Source organism: Homo sapiens, chromosome 5, assembly GCF_000001405.40.
Source record: "Homo sapiens chromosome 5, GRCh38.p14 Primary Assembly".
NCBI lineage: Eukaryota > Metazoa > Chordata > Mammalia > Primates > Hominidae > Homo > Homo sapiens.
Window position 1 is genome coordinate 124,699,055 of NC_000005.10, and position 14,418 is coordinate 124,713,472.

General features: G+C 42.0%; 1 protein-coding gene across 9 annotated transcripts in view, besides 1 other annotated feature; it reads right to left on the minus strand.

Moving 5' to 3' along the window:
* Positions 1 to 14,418, minus strand: part of ZNF608 (zinc finger protein 608) — a 111,910-nt gene that overhangs the window by 62,140 nt on the left and 35,352 nt on the right. For 8 of the 9 annotated variants that reach the window (NM_001385621.1, NM_001385619.1, NM_020747.3 and 5 more), the window contains one exon: positions 1,960 to 2,215. In NM_001385621.1, the coding sequence (NP_001372550.1) occupies positions 1,960 to 2,215 (256 nt within the window). Of the gene's footprint in view, positions 1 to 1,959; positions 2,216 to 12,563; positions 12,683 to 14,418 lie in introns of those variants that run through there. The other variant, XM_011543522.4, reaches the window with a different exon arrangement.
* Positions 10,040 to 10,779: an enhancer, noted in NCBI's record as "NANOG-H3K4me1 hESC enhancer chr5:124044787-124045526 (GRCh37/hg19 assembly coordinates)". NCBI's record gives its function as "activates a minimal SCP1, AML or CMV promoter by ChIP-STARR-seq in naive H9 embryonic stem cells {active_cell/tissue: H9 hESC(naive)}" and the evidence as "EXISTENCE:reporter gene assay evidence [ECO:0000049][PMID:30033119]".

Consider the following 14,418-nt stretch of genomic DNA (forward strand, 5'->3'; position numbering starts at 1 on the left):
AGTACAAAAAAATCTGATGTTCAAGTTTAGGGAAATTACCCTTACACTTTCCAAATATTTTTCTGTTCCTGAAAATGTGCACCTAAACAAATTCACTGTGACCTTATTAAGATCTTCAATACTTTTTTATACTTTTCACACTGAGTGTCAGTCTGAACGCCTTATCCACCATTTCCCTTAGAGAAAATCTAAGGGAAGGCAAACTGCACAACCCAAGAGAATAACATGATAGAAGCTTGCTCCCCACATGGGACCCCTTGTACTGGAGGGTGGCTGAACAGACAAGCAAGATGAGACAAATTCTGGCTCCTCCTACATCAGTTCCTCCCAATGTGGTTCCACAGTATAGTTTCAAATGGCTTCCCAGAATATCTGAAAAACCCAAATTAAAAGTACAAAATGAAAGAAGAGACCCAAAACTCAAAAATTTCTAAAGCCAAAAAAGTAAATTTTAATCACTTCCCTCTGAGCAAACAAAAGCTGACCATAGCTACTTTCAGTCCTTTTCTCTGATTCTTTCTTGTGTATTGTCTTTATTTATACTTACCAGTGCTATCTACAAATATTTTTATTTAACTACGAAACATATCGCACAAGAGTATATTTAATGTAATATGTAGAATTCAGAGTTCTCTAACAACCTTTGTTTTCTACCTTGAAACAGCTTGAGCTGTTTTCTATCTTTTAAGAATTATACTCAACACTTGTCATCTGATTTTCATTTATTTTTATCTTCTTCTTTCATTTCCCAGTTTGTCACTATCCTTAACTATTTTTTCTCAACTACTTCTTGCCCAGCAATTACCCTCAATATTCCCCATCCACTCAGCCACTTTTGAATACATTTCACCTTCTCCCTTTGAGTTTCGGCCCTCAGTTTTTCTCCCTTGATTCAGAGGAATCTGATGAATAATTGTGAGTCTCAGACCCTTCTTGTTACCCTCATCCTGCCCTTACTCCTCTGGCAAATGACCATGATATCAACAACTGTCATCTCCCTTATCTTTGACCGATCTAACTTACAGAGAAAAAAAAGTTCCCCCACCCCTTCATTTTTCTTTGTTCTCTGGTCCACTCTGAAGCACCCTGGAGCATGCTTCTTCCTTATCTCTTCTACTCTACTCACTCCCCAATGGAGCACTACAGATCTTCTTGGTAGTTAGTTTTCAATTATTGGTTGGCTTGTTAGTGACACTGGCCATATGAAACACTTCATACCTGGTGGTCATGTGCTATGAGACATGGTCAACCATGATTTGGATCCACTATCAGCATGGCATATGCTCTGATTTATATTCCAATAGCAATGATAGATTAATCCTGATCCATTTCCTTTGAACCTTGTTTCTCTTGTGGCTAATGGATTGCATTTGCCAAATGGCTTGCCGAGTTAAGGAACAGAAAAGGTTTTACGTCTCTGGCCATAGAAGAGAAGTGACCGGCTTACTAGGGCTTAAGTCTTTGGCCCTGGCCTCATTACTTCTGAGCACCAGCTGGCCACAGCCACATCATGACAATGATCCTCACTATGTGCAAGAACCTTGGCTCAATTCAGAAAGTAAATATAAGCCTCTACAACACAAAAACAACCATGTCAAGACAGACACATTTGTTGGCACCCTAAGAATTAAATAAACTTGAGATCTATCTCCCTTCCTAATTTCCACAATACCTTTTAGGGGAAGAGTAAACCCTCACCTGCTTCTCACAGTCCTTCCATGTTAGCACTTAAAGAGGAGAATCACTTTTAGAAACACCCAACTCATCTGCAATTTAAAAGCAGCCATGCACAAGAAGACAAACACGGCTCTTACTTCCAACACAAATCCAGAGAGCGGAAATAAAAAACACTTTCCATTCCTCTCTGAATACCGCAAAACAAATTCTCCTCACAGGTGGACATAAATACATCATGGGGAAGAGGGCATCGGGAAATATATAAAAATAAATTGTATTTACCTTCTTCTGTTTCATGCCACACGATCCCTTCCAAATTCACACTGGTCCCAGGTTCACAGGGCCCAAGACACTCTGGCTCTGTCACTACTCCAACTTCACATGTATTGACACCCACAGAACGAGTCCGAACCAAAAGCTGTTCAACCGGTGCTGCAATATTGGATGAAGATGGGGAAAAGTAGGAGGGTAGAATCTGAGGCGTGAGACTGCTGGAAATCGGCGGTGGTGGCGCTGGCACTGTAAACAGGGGGTCAACCTGAAAGACAGACAGGCTTACTGCAGTAGTGCTGCATTCCGTGAATTCCTTTTAATGCAATTTGCTTATATCACTTCTAGAATATATCACCATTCCAAATTCCATTTGCAATTATAATATGCTTTGAGTGTTTTAATGGTGCCAAAATATAAAGGAGAATAGAAATGAGCATTTTGTTTTTTCATGCCAAATAAGCTAAACATGAGAGCGCTAGCTCCCTGAATCATAAGCAGGTTTTCAGTGTCCTTCTCCTTCTAAATTCATCATTGGACAACCGTTAGCCTCAGCAGACGTGAATGAAACATGTTTTGCAAAATTAAGGCTACTTCTCACATGTAATGAAATCTCACTTTAAAAATTATAACAGTTTCTAAAGGAGAAACTCCAGTAAACACTAAAAATTTAAGTATAAGAGATGAAATAAAATTGTTTTCAAAGAACTTTATAAACCATAATGAATTAAATCACTACTAAAATATATTAGCTTTGCTGAATATATAAATACATAAACTTTACAATCTACACCGAAACACAAAAACTGGATATTGTTAGCATGTATTAAGCATCAACTCCTAATTAAGCATTCTATTGCAAAGTTTAGCAGAATTCATATAAGGGGGGAGATAAATGCATGTGCCCAACATCAACATAACTTGAGTTTTTCCAATGCACAAATTCTTCCGTGGTTAAACTGGTAAAGATCCCTAATGAGTTTGATTAAGGCTCAGTCACCACCTCTCTAAATACAGGAAATGTAAATCGCAGCCAACTACAAGATCTTGTGGTGCAATGGCATCCCCTTTGCACCGCTATCCCCAGGAGAGCAGCAAAAGAGTTCTTCATCACAAAAAGTTTAAAAGTCTGGCCATAATGAAACCAAAGGCTATGCCATGTACTAAACAGTACATTCATTTGGCCCATTGTAACAACTGCTAGGACTGCTACAGATAGCTTTGACCCTGATTATTGGTTGTGAAAATGCCACACACAAAGCCCATTTGTACCAAGACTCCAGATTACCTATGTCTTTGTGTTGCACATAGAAACGGCCTACATTTAAGGGATGACACCTTGCATGTATTATCAGTTGGGCTAACAAATCCTATATGTAAAAAGGGCGCATCGAAGATCATTCTGGTAAAATATTATCTTATTCTGCTGTTCACTGTAAGTTATCTTTTGTAGCCACTTGGCTGCAGGCGTAATAGTATATAGTCTTTGTTGGGTTTTGGTTTTTTTTTTTGAAAAGAAACAAAACAAAAAGAGTGTATTTCAAGAGTCATATGAGGAAGTGTGCTCCTAGTTAAACAGCTGAAGCAGTCATCTGTGTGGGCTCCTTGTTCATATGACTGTAGGAACTATTTCTACAGTTTGCATTTCACTAAAATGATAAACTGACGTTCACTTGCCTGAGTGATCCAAGATGCAACAGAACAGCCTTTCACCCATCTGCATGTTAAAAAAACTTAATTTCCTGCTCTCAAAGCTGCCATAAAACTTCTTTTGCTCCACGCTTTTTATTGTTCTGCATTCTTGATCACAGAGCCCAGGAAAGAAAAGCATTTAACAGCCCCAAACCCCAGATACTGTGATTTATGCTTTTGTGTAAATGTAGCTTAATGTGGATCAAAGTTCACACTGATAGTTCTTATTTTAAAACTGAGCTGACAAATGAACAAAGGGGTTCTGAGAGAGGAAATTTAAGGGGGGAAAAAAAACAATGCTACCTAGTAGTCTTTATTACAACTAAAAGACTGTCTGAGATTAGAATCACTTTCCAGAATTAAAAGTAAAGACCAAAGAAAATTATAAACCAGTGGTTTTTTTTTTGCATGCTTTCCAGCTTCTTAATTTGTATAGTTAGTTGTAAACTGACTGCAATTCGATGTCACATGTATAAATTGAAAAGAAAAAATAGAACATTATTCTGAAAATATTCTTCACATCACCTGATCAACAGCCTACATTAATACCAAGAGAACAAACGTAGCTTGAATAGGATGCATAGGAAAATGAAATAAAATTAGAGATGAGTCTTATAGCGTATCAGTTCTCTGATTTGGAGGTGAGAACACAATGGGGCAATGACAGTTATGGTGGCAAGACATACTAACACTAGGATTGGCGCCAACTCTGATATTAACTAGCTTATGACCCTGGAGAGTCATTCAACCTCTCTGAGGCCCATTTTCCTCAACTAGAAAACACATTCCTGGCCAGGTGTAGTGGCTCACACTTGTAATCCCAACATTGTGGGAGCTCCAAGAAGGAGTATCACTTCAGGCTGGGAGTTGGAGACCAGCCTGAGCAACACAGCAAGACCCCCATCCCTATAAAAAAGTATTTAAAAATTAGCCAGGCATGGTGGCATGCGAGTAGTCCCAGATACTCGAGAGGCTGAGGTGGGAGGAACAACTGAGCCCAAGAATTCAAGGCAGCAGTGAGCTATGATCATGCCATGGCGCTACAGCCTGGGCAACAAAGCAAGCCCCTGTCCCTTAAAAACAACAACAACAGCAACAACAAATGCACTTTTCAGCCGCCTAATATTGATGACATATCCTATCACAACAGCTTCTAGACTAAATCCTTATTTCAACATAACTCCATCTATAGATATATTTGCATGCAGAAACACACACACACCCCTCTCTCTCTCTCTCATATTTATGTAATTTCCAAGTTCAAATTTCTATGGAATCTGGATGCCTTGAGGGGAGAAGCCAGAGTACTCTGGGCCTACTTGTAAGTTAATTGTGTTTGTTACCATTAACACAATTCAAATGTAACATGAAAGTTGAACTGATATTTATAGCAAGAACTTTTGAGTCCAGTTCAACATGTTTTAAAATGAGAAAGCTAAGGTTCAGAGAGTTTGACTATAAATATACACTTAATCATAAATAGCACTCCGATGTGATAATAGTCTTTAGACTATTTAAGGCTTTTAAGGCTTAAACCTGACAGTTACTATTGTTTTGAGGTTCACATCTTTGACTTGCACAAGTGAATTTCTTCGTTTCTTCACTGTAGTATCGGCTTCTCATGGTGGCTCAGAACTGCCACTCCCATAGGTACCAGACCAGCACTACCAGTGAGAGGAGAACCAAATGAGAGGAGAATCGCAGTTTCTCCCCATTCACTGTGAGATGTCGGGATTGGGGAGGAGGTGGAGCACAAAGTCTCCCCGTGTGGTCTACCATAGGCCCCTCTTCCTTAGAGGTCGCCAGCAAGAACAGGATTTGCAGGTGGGGATTACAGCCACTCCCAGAGGTGTTTTTATTTGGCAGGTATGTTACTTTTTAAAACATTCCAGTTTTTTTTAGCAACACTTTAATAAATTAGGAAAGAATTTAAATTTCTCCTATTTCGTAAAATAATTATTGGATTATGTGCTCTCCTGGGCCCACATTCCTCATGGCATCAACTGACAGAACTGAGCTTCACTGCAGCCTTGCCACGTGACTTGCCCAACCAGAGAATGCTGGAGTTTGTGCTTCCACCCTCTGCCTGAAACAATCACAGAATGTCGCCTAGCCCAACCTACTCAGTCGAGAGAAAACTGTGGCCCATATTTGTACAAGTGTAATAAGCTGTCTCTAGTGGCAGCCTAGGTACACATAAAACGATGGCATCCCACAAGCAGAAAATTGACAGGAGTTCAACATACACTGGGAAACAGAAGAAGGGTGGAAGGGAAGTAATTCAAAGAGTGTGGCCAATTCTTTCTGCTAGGTAAGAATTTCCCCCCAAAAGGTTTCAGTTCTCTTGTGTATCTCAGTGTCAAACGTGAAGTCACATGTATCATATGTAAAGGAGGATTTTAAAGCATTTTCAGTAGTTATTTTTGCCTTATACAAAAGATCAACTCCACTGCACCCTGGTTTCTCAGGTCAGTGATCCATACACTGAACCATAATTTCTTCAGCCAATGAAGGTCATTAAGGCAGAGGGTGGCAACAGTTTCCACAAGGACTCCCTCCAGTGAGGAGGCAGCATACCAGGACTTGAACCTCTGGTTCTGTTAGCAGACAGAATTGGGTTCAAATGCTGACCCTGTCAGTACTTGCTGTGTGGAACCCTGAGCAAGTTACCGCGCTTCTCTTCTCTAAGACTCAGTGTCTAGTTCTAAGAAATGGGAGTAATAATAACAATTACCCCCACAAGCGTTGCAGTGAAGACTCAGTGAGATAATCCGTGCAAAGTGAATGCTCAGCATAGTGCTTAGGTCAGTAAACACTGGCTTAAAAGTCCCTGGTCTGATATTATAGTTCCCTAACCCTGCACCCAACCTTCCAAAGCTCCTTTTTATATCCTACTATATTTAACATAAATCTATAATCCCCTCCAAATGCATGGTTAAGTGCAATTAAAGTATGTTAAAAATACAAGAAAGGGGGCTTAACCTTGAGAAGCTCAGCCTGGGGAAATACTGCTTCTTTCATACACTGACATCTGGCAGCAGTCAACTGGCTTAACCCACCTCCATTTTACAATTTTATGGCAATGATGGGATCACCATGAAGGCCCTGATGAGTCCCGTACTACTACAGAATCTCCTCCTCCTAATCTCTAGTTGCAGCTTTTTCTCATGCACTGCTGCCCTAACAGTCAGCTCACCTCAACTCTTATCACACATCCACCCAATAATTACTACACACCTGCCATTTGCCAGGCACCGTGCAACCTGCTAGAACAAGAGTGGCCCAAACAGACCAGGTCCCTGCCCTTCTGGACTGACTGTGTAGTGGGCAAGACTGTGACACTGGTCAGATAATCATACAAATATAGCAAAATTACAAGGATAATTGTAGAACTACAACCAAAGGAACTTTCATGGTGGCCTGAGAGCAAAAAGTAGCGTGTTAATGGAAGACAGGGTGGGGCAGGGATCTGTCTTCACTGGGGGTTGGAATCCAGCTCTACTGTTAGCTACAAAACCTTAAGCAAGTAGTTTGATCGCTCTGGGGAATCAGTGCCTTCATCTGTAAAACGGAAATAACATCTGGCTCATGTGACTACTACAGAAGATCATACAAATAACTTTAGCTCAGGGCCTGGTAGAAGGTAGCACTCAATAAACAGGGGCTATTGCTATTGTCAATATTAGTATCATTATTACAAATATATCTGAGACCTGAAATCGATAGGTGGTTTGGCCCTATGGGACCAAATGCTAGTATTTGCTACATTCAAAGGCAATTCACAAGAGGCAACAACAAATCCCTTTCTGAGGGGAGAAACACTAATATAGTTCTAATCAGATATTCCTCATTTAAAAATCAGTGGGGGATTATTAGTCTAATAATACTAACAACTGGAATAAAATATCAGAATAGAGAACTGGCCTGTTTTAGCAATGGTTTCTTTGTCAAAGCTCTTTTCTGTCATCTTGATAGGACACTGATGTAACCTATTAGAACCCAAAAAAAGAGGAAAGCAGGAAAGCAGCCATCTCCACTGGAAAAAAAAGACCCATAAGTCTAACAGCTGGTGGTGGCAGCCTGTCAAACCGAGGAAAGTTAATGTCAAGAACAGACGCGCGGCAGTCTCTCACTGTTATTTTTGCATGATTATTCCCAGGTGTTAGTGCATGCTGAGCAGTAGCCTGGCTATTTATCACGCGAGAGAGCCTAAGAGCATGGGAGGGGGAGCAGGGAGGCTGAAGGGAGGCAGGGAAGAAAAGGTTATTTACACAGAGAGCGGCACTTAGTGTGTGTAATCAGAGGGCTGGGTTGGGGGCGGGCAATCTGCAGGGAAACCCTGGCAATATTTTCTCCGTTCACCTTCTTTCAAGGGCTTCCTGAGTGCTGATGGGCAAGGAAGGATCCAAAGCTGGAGTGTTGGTGGGGACAGCTTTTCATCACTGGGGCATTTCACTGTGTTGGTCAGTGATGCTTTCAGTACCAGGAAACCGACAGCCAGTGAGGATAGGTGGCCAGGGTAGGGCTGGAGAGTGCTCCCTCGAGCACTCCTGCTCCACCCAGACCCAACAAAGAGACATTCAGGTGGCTCTGCTGCCAGGTAGAAGGAGAAGGCGAAACCCAGGACTGCCGAGAAGCAAGCCTCCAGAAGGCAGAGAGATTCCCTCCTTTACCTGGGATCAGGTCTAAACCCTGACAGGGAAGCTTGCCACAGCTTTCTCACGTCTATTGCCAAAAATATCCACACCGATCCTGCTATTAACCCCTCAATCCCGGGATCACCAACAACCAGAGGGGGAATGGTGTTTTACTTTGCTCAGAGCCAATATTGTTATAGTCTATGAGAATGCTGGGGCACGATTACTTAATGTTCACGTTTTCTCCATATCCTGGTATTGGGCTGTTTTATGAGATTGCCCATAGTCACCTCTTCATTTAAAAAGCATTAGAAAGAGACTCCACTACTACGTAGGGGAAATCACAGCTCTTTAGAGGCGACCACTGCTGCAGTCTCTTACTTTGCATTTTAACCACCCTTTTTCTGCCTGACGTCACTGCTTCTTTAGCAAAGCAGGGGAAGCTTTAAAAACCATTTCCTTAAATTAGGCACTGATCTTTTCTCCAGAACTAATCATTGAGGCTGAATTTCCATCCCTAAAGGACAAACCTGTAACAACTGAATTTTGGTCACTTCTAATTCTGCCTTTTCGTAAATGTGATGGAGACAACTCTTCCTTTCAGAACCATGATCAAAGCAATTTACGCTTTGCAGCTTGCTGAGAAAACAACATGGGCAAATTCTCACAAAGGGTCTAAGGTACCAGACTTTTTCCGCCTCCTTTAATTCTCACAACATTCCTGTTTTATAGAAGCAGAAACTGAAGATCTCAGAGGATGGGCCACTTTATCTAAGGAGCTGAAATTCAAGACCAAAGCTCTCTGATCTTAAAGTCCATGGGCTTTCTCATAAAAATAGTAACATCAGCAGCTACTTTTTAACACATACAACATAGAGGAATTATAACTGTCTTACCACATATAGTGTAGGAGGGATTATACTGTGCATTCTCTCTTTTGATCTTTACAAAATTGTTAAGGGAAGTATTTTACAGATGAGGAAAAGGAAACGTGGGAAAAGTTAAGTAACTTAAAAGGTCACTCAGGGTCGGTGGCTGAGCCAGAATTTGACCCCACATTGGTCTAACATCAAACGCAAACCCTTCTAAATGTAAAATAGAAGATGAGATGGAAAGAAATCTTTCTCCATGGGTAATTTCTGGCCCTTTTCTGTATGTTGGAAGCAATATACCTGAATCACCCTTTATTACCCATAGTTCAGAATAGTGAATCTCAGGCTTGCAAGCAAATAATACAATCCCTTCAGAAACCTCACTTTAAAACCTTACTGAAACCAAAGCTCAGCTTTTGTTTTATTGTTGTTGTTTTAAATCATCCAATTCTAAAACTACCGTTATGCACAGACTGGGAATTATATTGCCATTTCCACTTTCTCATTATCAGGTATGAAGACCAACCCTGCCCTCAAGTGCTGTTCAGGCTTAGCAGCTGATCTGGTAGGACTTGGCCTGGGGATGGACCAGGGCTCTGGCCCCAAGGCCAGTGGGGCCAAGACGGATGCTTCCACCTCCAGCCAGAACCCCCACCATGCCAAAATTCCAGAATGCCAAAAATCCAAGGCCCGGTGCAGTGGCTCACGCCTGTAATCCCAGCACTTTGGGAGGCCAAGGCGGGTAGATCACCTGTGGTCAGGAGTTCAAGACCAGCCTGACCAACATGGAAAAACCCAGTCTCTACTAAAAATACAAAAATTAGCTGGGCGTGGTAGCGGCTCCTGTAATCCCAGCTACTCGGGAGGCTGAGGCAGGAGAATTGCTTGAACCCAGGAGGCGGAGATTGCAGTGGGCCGAGACTGCACCATTGCCCTCCAGCCTGGGCAACAGAGAGAGACTCTGTCTCAAAAAAAAAAAAAAAAAAAAAAAAAAAATCTGGGTTCTGCATGGTACTGCTTTGGGGTGGAGAGGAAAGGGGGTCACTGACTCTTCGTGTCTGACTGCCAGAAGGATCCCTATATGCAGGTCACAAAGCAAGAGAATGTACACAGCTACATGTGTAAAATACGCTTTAAACAGCAGTGACTATTTTTAACTTCATTCTCTAGCCATGACAGTTTTCAAAGCAAAACAGAAGGTACTGAGTATGTAAAGATGGAATATAATTAAACTACTCTACTCAATGTCTTAAATTTCTTTTGTTATGAAGCCAAATTAAATTCCTCCCTCAAAGGCCTTGAACTGTGTAGAGTTCCATAGCTAAGCGATATTGGTGGAGGCGGAGCAGACACAGGGACTCTTTTCTACCACACCACATCAGTTGTCACATACTTAGCCTCAGTTGTGTTCTTTGAAAACCTGTCCTACTGCTGAGCCACAGATACTTAATCTGTTTCAAAAGTGCCGCTGACATCTTTCACTGCTCAGAGAGCTGTGTGTGCTTTAAATAGTGGCAGTAAATGATCAGTGTTTTCATATCTTGTTCATAAGAGTTCTCTGATTTCCTCTCATCCCATTTCCAAAGACACTTAAAGCACAAAAATAAGCCACAAAGAAAGGAGACCATCGTAAAGGCACTAAAAAAGCCTGTGTTCTTGGATTAATCCTTTGCACAAGGCCCTTTGTACAAAGCTGAATTCCTGAAAAGTTCCATGCAAATTCCATTTCTATCAATTAGATCTTGTTCCCAATCCCTTAAAAGTGAAAGTTTTTAAAAAGAAAGTTCAGTGGTAAATTCTGGATGTTGCTAAACATGGTTGCGCCTACATTAGCCAATAAATCAATTTCAAAACACATGAATAATGCATGTATCTTAGTTGATATTGGTCATTGATAAATACATTGTCCTTGTGTGACCCTTATTTCTCCTTGAAATTAGGTTGAAATCAGGGAAAGGTTAGAAGTCTCTCATCCTTATGCTTCTGGATGCAGACATGATTTTAAGAAGAAAGAAAGGCAGGAAGAAAGGAAAGAAAAGCCCATTTTGGAAACCACCGTATTCCGATTTCTCTCAGCTTAACATCAGTCATTTTTCTTACCTTCTTTTAGGGAATCTCACTTGCAACCACCTAAAAGGAGTATTTTCAACTAAAATTTTACACATTTGAATTACAAACTCAAAACATGCTGGTCATAACAAATTAAATGACAAGGAAGTGCCTGAGTCACACTGTATGGGAGCTATGTGGTGTATAAAGCTATGCGGTGAGCTGAGATCCATGTAAAGGGAAGGCCACAGAAGCACCCAAAGCATCGTGGGTCGGCTACAGAAGAAGACAATTTTGACTCCCTGTACAGGACACTATCTTGGTACCACTCACTTTCCTCCCTGCAAAATCTGAATATTGCTCACATATATTCAACATATGTCCAAGAAGCTTCTTATGTATGTCTCCTGCCTCTTCTTTCCATACCTCCCAAATGTTGATCCAAAACACTGATCAATTTTAATAAATTAAGCAAAGTTTTGAAAATGTGATTTCATTCTGAATCACAGTTAAGCAACTGGGTAAAGCTCTCCATACTTTATCACAGAGATGGAATGGTTAGAGAGAACATGACAAAGCTTCCCCATACACCATCTCTATACATGCATGTATATGGTATTTCCATCCATATGTAATACTTAGCTACATATCTATTGTCAAGGACTCTTTAAAGAAACATTCATTTTTACTACAGCTCTAGAGAAAGGCAAGGGTGGGTTTTCTCATCTGATTGTGTAAACTGAAGAAACTTAGTCTTAAGAGATAAGTTACTTCTCAGGGTCAGGAGCAAAAACAAGAGGCCACAGCCTGTCCCAATGAGGTCTATCATGCCCCCTACCAAGTTCTAAACCATAAACCACTTTTAAAAGTTTCTTCTCACAGAGGCCTACACAAAAAAAAGCTGCTTGCTCACAGGTCCAGAATTCGGTTTCCCCACCTTGAGAACACAGCAGATTTTATTAATAAAAGTCAACAGATCACTCTCCAGAGAGAACCTCTCTTCTAACAGTTTCTTGTGTGTTCTTTCAGAAATTTTATACATATAGAAACATACAGAGGAAGAAGGAATAACTTTTCATTTTATAGCCTTCTATGCTGCTTAAATTTTGACATGACCATATACTATTTTACCATTTTTTAAACTAACTTTTTAATGAAAAGATGCTAAGGCATTCCACTTTAGAGTAAAAGTAAAGCAGAGAGGAGAGGGTAGATGCTTGAAGACTATTATTTCAACTCCTCATGCAGAGGTCCTGAAATCCACAAGTGAGTCCAAGGTGGCATAAGGACCTAGTTTGTGTGACAGGAATCATGTATTAACCCCAGGCCCTCCCCTTTAGATGGGTTGCCGTTTAAGCCGCCTCACTGTTGGGGAAGTCATTCCTTCATCCAACAAGTTTTTGCCAGGTGCCACAATGTGCCAAAGGTGGGGAGATGAGCAGTGGCCGCAGAGCCAAATGTGGTCAGAGCTGAAGGTGGTCAGTTAAGCCCAGGGCATTGTGGGAGCACCAAGGGGGTGGGGCAGGGACAGGGAGAGCTGAGGCTGGAATATCAGAGAATTCACAAGAGCCCAGGCCAGGCTAAGAATCTGGGGGGTTATTATGAAGTTGGAAGTGGGCACTGAGGATTTTAAAGTAGGGGCACGGAAGGATTCGATTGTTAATGTGGTAAAAAGCACACTGGAAGCCATGGGAAAACAGATGAGACAGGGCAAGACTGGAGGAAGGAAGACAAGAAACCATTACCAATTAGCCGGGTGTAGGTGTGTGCCTATAATCCCAGGTACTCGGGAGGCTGAGGCAGGAGAATCACTTGAACCCAGGAGGCAGAGGTTGCAGTGAGCTGAGATCGCACCATTGCACTCCAGCCCGGGCAACAAAGCCAGACTCCATCACAAAACATAAAAAAAGAAGCCATTGCAGTACTCCAAGAAGACCTGGCACCCGTGGTGGGGTGGGGGGATAGGGAGGAGAGATCAGACTCGGGAAGGTGGCAGAAGAGGACAAACTCAAGATGTGCCCCAGCGGTCTGTTTCAGTTGGTGACAGTGTCATGGCCTGGGATGGGGAGGATGGGCAGAGGATCGCCTGTTGGGCAACGTCTATCAGGCGAATGGACAGAATTAGATCATTCTAGATCATCTCTGTGACCCCTGGCAGAAAGAAAGTAATGAAGCCAGTGGAGTGGCTGAGTTGGCTCAGGGAAAATGCAAAGAATGTAAAGAGAAGGGCCAAAACCCTGTAGACCCCAATAGTGATGGGGCACAAAGAGTGAGAAGGAGCAGAGTGGCTGGAGAGGGACTGGCAAACCTGGAAAGTGGGGTGACTAATCTATGGAGTGGGGCTCTAAGAGTACCAAGGTCTGGGCAGTCTGGTGTCCAATGACACCAATGGAGAAGCCACGAGGAGACAGTGCCCACCCACCCTGTGGAGTTGGCCCAGGGTCCCTGCTTTCCCTCCAGCTACCAGAAGAACAAAGCGGCTGGCTTTTTAAAACCTGTAGATTCCTAATAATTCCCTTAATTTTACCCTAACAGCCACTGGCAGCCTCACAGTGTTGCCCCTACACCAACCTGGAACCTTTTGTTTCAATTTAGGTGAAAAAATGACTCCACACCATGCTGCAAGTCACCTATTTTTCCATTAGATGACTCATGATCTTTGAGAAACCAGATCCCATCCCAAATGCCATGTCCCTTAATCTTTGTATGTCACTGATGGCCAAGATAATGAGCCCTTCATTTCAGGAAGCTAAATAACAAAAGTAATGGGGATCCTAAATAAGCTTTTTCAAACCTCTATCCCCACCCACCACCTGATTCGGGCCTTCCCAGCATGACGTCCAAGGCACATGCCCCTTAATCACCACTGGTCCCTGAACAGAGAGAAACTCTCTCTCCTTCCCTTCTCTCTTACTACTCTTCTATCTTTATGTTCACTAGTTCCCTAAGGTGGTTCCACCCTACAAATCCCATTTGAACATCTTCCCTTTCCAGTCTTAGAGCAATGAGCCTTTATGAGAAGGAATATCCAGGGCAAGTAACCCTGCTTAGGGATTTCTCAGTCCACAGTCTAGTTAAAAGGTCACCAAATGATGGCCCACGGTCCAAATCTGGCCCACTGTCTGTTTTCCTAAGGCCTGAAAGCTAAGAATGTTTTCTACAGATGAATTTTTGCAGTCAATGTAATGACAGCAAACATTAACTTTGAACACTTATTAAGT